Raw genomic sequence first — 9,661 nt, 5'->3', positions numbered from 1 at the left:
ACATACTACCAAGACTTACATATTTGACAAATTATTGTTTTTTCAAAGTAGTCATATGTGAAAGTTGTATGTTCATTGCAATGCTGCGATTGCTCAAAATATTGTTAGAATACTAATTTGTAAATTTAGAAATTGCCTCCAGAGCTAATAAGTTTCAAGAATATAAATTCCATCTCTTTTCTGTTTTGTCTTTTCTCTTCTTCCTCCCTCCTTTCTTTCCTTTCTTTCCTACTTTCTTTCTTATCATTAGAAATAACATTACTCCTCCCCCTACAAAACACACACATTAAAGACAGGAAGGAGCCCTGTCATTACAGCTATGGGCAGGTTGTAGCTAGAGCTGAGAACTTCTAATGGTAGTCCCCTGAAGGCCCATTCATAAACTCGAGATACCTGGGGCTGCCCTGGCTACCCTTCCTAAGTCCCGGTGGTTCAACTCTTTCTTCAGTCATCTTTTTTTACTTCTCTTTATTTTGCTTTAGTTAATGAATGTTGGTTTCAGCACCTTGAAGCCATAGGATCATAACTGAAACAAGTTTAATTGCCAGCTTTGGCTTCATCTGGTATTAAGACCAGAGAGAAAAAATGACTTGCCTAAAGGCACATAGATTTTCCATAGCAGAACTGGATCTAAAACTCAGGACTAATGACTCCAATTCAGAGATTATTCTCTTACATCACACTGCCTTTCAGATTCTACATCCCACCAGAGACGTACTCAACTGCTGACCACGAAGAGGTTCACATGTGTAGGCTCTGTGGTACAGCTCAGCCTTTTGGAAGAGGGGAGAAGAAAAGCACCAGGAGGATTAGAATAAGTACTAGATGAGATGGTCGCTTTATGAAATTCAGTGCTCACAACTGACTTCTCAGTGATGACTTCTCATCTACCAGGCAAAGGTGAGAAAGGACCTAAGTGTTATTCTGGGACCCCCTTTCCTGTTTCCCTAGGCTGTTCCCAATCTCCGTTTTGCTACTGGAATGTAATTTACTTTTAATTTACATTTCAACTGTAAATAGAATGTCTGCACACGATAAGAAGTTCAAACAGCTTATCTATGAAAAGTAAGCTGTTCTCCCAACTCTGCAGCTCCTGCATCAGTCTCTACAGCTGCATTTCATTCCCAAAGGGTCTGGCCTTGCATTCTAGCCATCCTCTCAGAGTCTGGGCACCTATTCTGCACAGATTTTCATGGAGACTCCTTGGAGAGAGTGTTTTTAAGCACAGTGATGGATTAAAACTTGATGGAAATAGACTAAGGGGAGACTGCCAGGTAAGGAAACAGGGAAGATAAATGTAGACAAATCTTTCATGGAGCTGGCTGTAGAAAAGAGCAAAAGAGAGAAACTGAGAAAATAGCTATTATTTATTTAGCAAACACTTTGGATAATTTCTTTTTCTACCAGGATAAGAAAGGGACTTGCCTGTCCTCCTGTGTCTTGTAAGTTATTTAACATCTAAGTTACAGTGGAAATAGAAATGGCATTCAGGTAATTTGACTAAAGTGTGCTCAACTTTTAAAATTATGCTTGTATTTTCAGACATTTAACTGAACCCTAGTTGATTGTAAGGAGTAGTCTCTACATTTTGAGCATGGTATTTTCAAAGGAAAACACAGGTTGAGCATCCCTAATATGAAAATCTAGTATTTGAAACTTTTTGAAGAGGAGGAGCCAAGATGGCTGAATAGGAACAGCTCCGGTCTACAGCTCCCAGTGTGAGCGATGCAGAAGATGGGTGATTTCTGCATTTCCATCTGAGGTACCGGGTTCATCTCACTAGGGAGTGCCAGACAGTGGGTGCAGGTCAGTGGGTGTATGCACCATGCGCGAGCCGAAGCAGGGCGAGGCATTGCCTCACTCAGGAAGCGCAAGGGGTCAGGGAGTTCCCTTTCCTAGTCAAAGAAAGGGGTGACAGACGGCACCTGGAAAATCGGGTCACTCCCACCCTAAGACTGCGCTTTTCCAACGGGCTTAAAAAACGGCGCACCAGGAGATTATATCCTGCACCTGGCTCGGAGGGTCCTACACCCACGGAGTCTTGCTGATTGCTAGCACAGCAGTCTGAGATCAAACTGCAAGTCGGCAGCAAGGCTGGGGGAGGGGCACCCACCATTGCCCAGGCTTGCTTAGGTAAACAAGGCAGCTGGGAAGCTCGAACTGGGTGGAGCCCACCACAGCTCAAGGAGGCCTGCCTGCCTCTGTAGGCTCCACCTCTGGGGGCAGGGCAGAAACAAACAAAAAGACAGCAGTAACCTCTGCAGACTTAAATGTCCCTGTCTGACAGCTTTGAAGAGAGCAGTGGTTCTCCCAGCACGCAGCTGGAGATCTGAGAACGGGCAGACTGCCTCCTCAAGTGGGTCCCTGACCCCTGACCCCCGAGCAGCCTAACTGGGAAGCACTCCCCAGCAGGAGAAGACTGACACCTCACATGGCCGGGTACTCCAACAGACCTGCAGCTGAGGGTCCTGTCTGTTAGAAGGAAAACTAACAAACAGAAAGGACATCCACACCAAAAACCCATCTGTACATCACCATCATCAAAGACGGAAAGTAGATAAAACCACAAAGATGGGGAAAAAACAGAGCAGAAAAACTGGAAACTTTAAAAAGCAGAGTGCCTCTCCTCCTCCAAAGGAAAGCAGTTCCTCACCAGGAACAGAACAAAGCTGGACGGAGAATGACTTTGACGAGCTGAGAGAAGAAGGCTTCAGACGAACAAATTACTCTGAGCTACAGAAGGAAATTCAAACCAAAGGCAAAGAAGTTGAAAACTTTGAAAAAAATTTAGAAGAATATATAACTAGAATAACCAATACAGAGAAGTGCTTAAATGACCTGATGGAGCCGAAAACCAAGGCTCGAGAACTACGTGAAGAATGCAGAAGCCTCAGGAGCCGATGTGATCAACTGGAAGAAAGGGTATCAGCGATGGAAGATGAAATGAATGAAATGAAGCGAGAAGGGAAGTTTAGAGAAAAAAGAATAATAAGAAATGAACAAAGCCTCCAAGAAATATGGGACTATGTGAAAAGACCAAATCTACGTCTGATTGGTGTACCTGAAAGTGATGGGGAGAATGGAACCAAGTTGGAAAACACTCTGCAGGATATTATCCAGGAGAACTTCCCCAATCTAGCAAGGCAGGCCAACATTCAGATTCAGGAAATACAGAGAACGCCACAAAGATACTCCTCGAGAAGAGCAACTCCAAGACACATAATTGTCAGATTCACCAAAGTTGAAATGCAGGAAAAAATGTTAAGGGCAGCCAGAGAGAAAGGTCGGGTTACCTTCAAAGGGAAGCCCATCAGACTAACAGCGGATCTCTTGGCAGAAACTCTACAAGCCAGAAGAGAGTGCGGGCCAATATTCAACATTCTTAAAGAAAAGAATTTTCAATCCAGAATTTCATATACAGCCAAACTAAGCTTCATAAGTGAAGGAGAAATAAAATACTTTACAGACAAGAAAATGCTGAGAGATTTTGTCACCACCAGGCCTGCCCTAAAAGAACTCCTGAAGGAAGCGCTAAACATGGAAAGGAACAACCGGTACCAGCCACTGCAAAATCATGCCAAAATGTAAAGACCATCGAGACTAGGAAGAAACTGCATCAACTAATGAGCAAAATAACCAGCTAACATCATAATGGCAGGATCAAATTCACACATAACAATATTAACTTTAAATGTAAATGGACTAAATGCTCCAATTAAAAGACACAGACTGGCAAATTGGATAACGAGTCAAGATCCATCAGTGTGCTGTATTCAGGAAACACATCTCACGTGCAGAGACACACATAGGCTCAAAATAAAAGGATTCAGATCTACCAAGCAAATGGAAAACAAAAAAAGGCAGGGGTTGCAATCCTAGTCTCTGATAAAACAGACTTTAAACCAACACAGATCAAAAGAGACAAAGAAGACCATTACATAATGGTAAACGGGTCAATTAAACAAGAAGAGCTAACTATCCTAAATATATATGCACCCAATACAGGAACACCCATATTCATAAAGCAAGTCCTGAGTGACCTACAAAGAGACTTAGACTCCCACACATTAATAATGGGAGACTTTAACACCCCACTGTCAACATTAGACAGATCAACGAGACAGAAAGTCAACAAGGATACCCAGGAAATGAACTCAGCTCTGCACCAAGTGGACCTAATAGACATCTACAGATCTCTCCGTCCCAAATCAACAGAATATACATTTTTTTCAGCACCACACCACACCTATTCCAAAATTGACCACATAGTTGGAAGTAAAGCTCTCCTCAGCAAATGTAAAAGAACAGAAATTATAACGAACTATCTCTCAGACCACAGTGCAATCAAACTAGAACTCAGGATTAAGAATCTCACTCAAAACTGCTCAACTACATGGACACTGAACAACCTGCTCCTGAATGACTACTGGGTACATAACGAAATGAAGGCAGAAATAAAGATGTTCTTTGAAACCAACGAGAACAAAGACACAACATACCAGAATCTCTGGGATGCATTCAAAGCAGTGTGTGGAGGGAAATTTATAGCACTAAATGCCCACAAGAGAAAGCAGGAAAGATCCAAAATTGATACCCTAACATCACAATTAAAAGAACTAGAAAAGCAAGAGCAAACACATTCAAAAGCTAGCAGAAGGCAAGAAATAACTAAAATCAGAGCAGAACTGAAGGACATAGAGACACAAAAAACCCTTCAAAAAATTAATGAATCCAGGAGCTGGTTTTTTGAAAGGATCAACAAAATTGATAGACTGCTAGCAAGACTAATAAAGAAAAAAAGAAGAATCAAATAGACGCAATAAAAAATGACAAAGGGGATATCACCACCGATCCCACAGAAATACAAACTACCATCAGAGAATACTACAAACACCTCTACGCAAATAAACTAGAAAATCTAGAAGAAATGGATACATTCCTCGACACATACACTCTCCCAAGACTAAACCAGAAAGAAGTTGAGTCTCTGAATAGACCAATAACAGGCTCTGAAATTGTGGCAATAATCAATAGCTTACCAACCAAAAAGAGTCCAGGACCAGATGGATTCACAGCCGAATTCTACCAGAGGTACAAGGAGGAACTGGTACCATTCCTTCTGAAACTATTCCAATCAATAGAAAAAGAGGGAATCCTCCCTAACTCATTTTATGAGGCCAGCATCATCCTGATACCAAAGTCGGGCAGAGACACAAGCAAAAAAGAGAATTTTAGACCAATGTCCTTGATGAACATTGATGCAAAAATACTCAATAAAATACTGGCACACTGAATTCAGCAGCACATCAAAAAGCTTATCCACCATGATCAAGTGGGCTTCATCACTGGGATGCAAGGCTGGTTCAATATACCCAAATCAATAAATGTAATTCAGCATATAAACAGAACCAAAGACAAAAACCACATGATTATCTCAATAGATGCAGAAAAGGCCTTTGACAAAATTCAACAATGCTTCATGCTAAAAACTCTTAATAAATTAGGTATTGATGGGACGTATCTCAAAATAGTAAGAGCTATCTATGACAAACCCACAGCCAATATCATACTGAATGGGCAAAAACTGGAAGCATTCCCTTTGAAAACTGGCACAAGACAGGGATGCCCTCTCTCACCACTCCTATTCAACATAGTGTTGGAAGTTCTGGCCAGGGCAATTAGGCAGGAGAAGGAAATAAAGGGTATTCAATTAGGAAAAGAGGAAGTCAAATTGTCTCTGTTTGCAGATGACATGATTGTATATCTAGAAAACCCCATTGTCTCAGCCCAAAATCTCCTTAAGCTGATAAGCAACTTCAGCAAAGTCTCAGGATACAAAATCAATGTACAAAAATCACAAGCATTCTTATACACCAACAACAGACAAACAGAGAGCCAAATCATGAGTGAACTCCCATTCACAATTGCTTCAAAGAGAATAAAATACCTAGGAATCCAACTTACAAGGGATGTGAAGGACCTCTTCAAGGAGAACTACAAACCACTGCTCAATGAAATAAAAGAGGATACAAACAAATGGAAGAACATTCCATGCTCATGGGTAGGAAGAATCAATATCATGAAAATGGCCATACTGCCCAAGGTAATTTATAGATTCAATGCCATCCCCATCAAGCTACCAATGACTTTCTTCACAGAATTGGAAAAAACTACTTTAAAGTTCATATGGAACCAAAAAAGAGCCTGCATCGCCAAGTCAATCCTAAGCCAAAAGAACAAAGCTGGAGGCATCACACTAGCTGACTTCAAACTATACTACAAGGCTACAGTAACCAAAACAGCATGGTACTGGTACCAAAACAGAGATATAGATCAATGGAACAGAACAGAGCCCTCAGAAATAACGCTGCATATCTACAACTATCTGATCTTTGACAAACCTGAGAAAAACCAGCAATGGGGAAAGGATTCCCTATTTAATAAATGGTGCTGGGAAAACTGGCTAGCCATATGTAGAAAGCTGAAACTGGATCCCTTCCTTACACCTTATACAAAAATCAATTCAAGATGGATTAAAGACTTAAACGTTAGACCTAAAACCATAAAAACCCTAGAAGAAAACCTAGGCATTACCATTCAGGACATAGGCATGGGCAAGGACTTCATGTCTAAAACACCAAAAGCAATGGCAACAAAAGCCAAAATTGACAAATGGGATCTAATTAAACTAAAGAGCTTCTGCACAGCAAAAGAAACTACCATCAGAGTGAACAGGCAACCTACAAAATGGGAGAAAATTTTTGCAACCTACTCATCTGACAGAGGGCTAATATCCAGAATCTACAATGAACTCAAACAAATTTACAAGAAAAAAACAAACAACCCCATCAAAAAGTGGGCAAAGGACATGAACAGACACTTCTCAAAAGAAGACATTTATGCAGCCAAAAAACACATGAAAAAATGCTCACCATCACTGGCCATCAGAGAAATGCAAATCAAAACCACAATGAGATACCATCTCACACCAGTTAGAATGGCAATCATTAAAAAGTCAGGAAACAACAGGTGCTGGAGAGGATATGGAGAAATAGGAACTCTTTTACACTGTTGGTGGGACTATAAACTAGTTCAACCATTGTGGAAGTCAGTGTGGCGATTCCTCAGGGATCTAGAACTAGAAATACCATTTGACCCAGCCATCCCATTACTGGGTATATACCCAAAGGACTATAAATCATGCTGCTATAAAGACACATGCACACGTATGTTTACTGCGGCATTATTCATAATAGCAAAGACTTGGAACCAACCCAAATGTCCAACAATGATAGACTGGATTAAGAAAATGTGGCACATATACACCATGGAATACTATGCAGCCATAAAAAATGATGAGTTCATGTCCTTTGTAGAGACATGGATGAAATTGGAAATCATCATTCTCAGTAAACTATCGCAAGAACAAAAAACCAAACACTGCATATTCTCACTCATAGGTGGGAATTAAACAATGAGAACACATGGACACAGGAAGGGGAACATCACACTCTGGGGACTGTTGTGGGGTGGGGGAAGGGGGAGGGATAGCATTGGGAGATATACCTAATGCTAGATGACGAGTTAGTGGGTGCAGCGCACCAGCATGGCACACGTATACATATGTAACTAACCTGCACATTGTGCACATGTACCCTAAAACTTAAAGTATAATAATAATAAATAAAATTAAAAAAAAACCCAACTTTTTGAATGTCAATGTGACGCCACAAGTGGAAAATTCCTCACCTGACCTCATGTGATAGGTCACAGTCAAAACTTTGTTTCATGTGCAGAATTATTAAAAATATTACCTTCAGGCTATGTATACAAGGGATATAATAAACACATGAACTTCATGTTTAGACTTGAGTCCCATCCCCAAGATACCTCATCATGTACATACAAATATTCCAAAAAATAATTAAAAATCTGAATTCTGACACACATCCGGTCTCCAGCATTTCAGATAAGGGACACTCAACCTGTGCAAGTTGAATGTGGAGAAACTACAGGACACGCTGTTTTCCATGATCTCTCCTTTGCTGCCATCTAGTGACAGTTTTGTGTAACGTCAAATAGAAAAAGTGTCTTCTAACAATGAAGTTTTGATGTGGCTATTTCCTCTACTTATGCAGCGCCCTCACTGGACTGAAGTATTTCCAACTGAGCCTGGGAATTTAATTTGCTGGTTTGCATCAGCAGTGACACTTAATCTCCTCAAGAGCACTTACTAAACTACACTCTGGGTCCTGCACAAAGCGACGCAAGCTGACTTCTGAAAATGACGTATGGTACTACAGCACAAGCAAAGGTCATGAGAGCATCATAAAAAGCCTATTATTGAACAAATACATGACACTACATTGGAGCCAGATGCCTTAGTGGGAAATGAGTTTTTTCTATAAAAATGTGCAGCCATGTGTATACGTTGTTTCATATTGTTGGTACTGTATCTTTGGAAACAAACTCTGGAAATATAATTTCTGGATCAGAGAGTAAATGCATATATACTTCTGCTAGATATTGCCAAATCCCTCCTCAGTATGGGTTGTAACATTTTGTATCCCACCATCAGCCTTAGTTTGGCTGGTTCTCCACAGCCTTACCAACAGAGTAGGTTTTACACTTTTGATACATAAGAAATAGTAGCTCCTTGTAGTTTTATTTCTCTTATTATTGTCCTTTCAGCCAAAGTCTAGCCACAAAAAGAGAAACCAGACCAATTATTCTAATAGAGAAAATGGAATACAGATGCTGGGTTAAACTGAAGTGGTGAACTTATCAGGCAAAGAAGAAACATGGACATAACAGAAAGTCTAACTAGCTATATTAAACTATGTGGAATACACAGAATGGACTCAGTTTTCTCACTGAACCTGAACTTCTCTTCATGACTGTTTGCCCCTGAATCATCATATTGTCCCCTCTTTGACTCACCTGCTTAAATTCTGATATTTAGCCTTTTAATCCCACTGAATAGAGAGGCTTCTTGTATCCTAGGGGACCCATTTAGATTGCCCTGAACATAGAGATATAACCAGGTTCTCTCTGGGATTTAAGGTTACTCATCTCAGAAGCTTCATTTAAATTGGCATACCCATCCTGAATTCCTGAATTCAAAAAATCTGTGCCTGAGATGTCTCTTGACAAATTGGGAGGTAGCATAACACATTAGTAACCTGGTGTTATGAACTTGGCACAGTTCCTGAAATGCTCTACGACGTAATCGACATTTATGACAAAGATAACATACAAAGAAACTTACAACTATGTCAGTTGATGTATATTGACGTAAAAGTTCTAAATAAAATACTGTCAGATATTATAACACCAGAATTATAAAATGCCATTACTTAGTAGGACTAAGTTGCTCAATCTATTCTGATACATTACCAACCATGTGGATCAAAGGAAAAAAATTATCATCCATAAAAAGACTATGAAAGATTTGTTCTTTCTATATTTAAATGCAATGATTCTAAGCAATAGAGCTATTTGTGCTTGGATTTACTGTAAGGAATGCAGCTATGAATTATGTTTCTGTCATTTTTGTCTCTTTCCATCACTCAGCAGTAAAATTTATCCATTTCAAACTGTTCTGGATTAATTTGCACCTCTTCTGAACAATAAAACAAGAAAAAAGTAATTCTTTCACCAG

General features: G+C 40.1%; 1 annotated feature.

Moving 5' to 3' along the window:
* Positions 1,670-2,169: an enhancer, noted in NCBI's record as "H3K4me1 hESC enhancer chr10:45510141-45510640 (GRCh37/hg19 assembly coordinates)". NCBI's record gives its function as "activates a minimal SCP1, AML or CMV promoter by ChIP-STARR-seq in naive H9 embryonic stem cells {active_cell/tissue: H9 hESC(naive)}" and the evidence as "EXISTENCE:reporter gene assay evidence [ECO:0000049][PMID:30033119]".

The sequence above is a fragment of the Homo sapiens genome, chromosome 10 (genome assembly GCF_000001405.40).
Source record: "Homo sapiens chromosome 10, GRCh38.p14 Primary Assembly".
NCBI lineage: Eukaryota > Metazoa > Chordata > Mammalia > Primates > Hominidae > Homo > Homo sapiens.
This window is presented reverse-complemented; position numbering and strand designations above follow the sequence as displayed.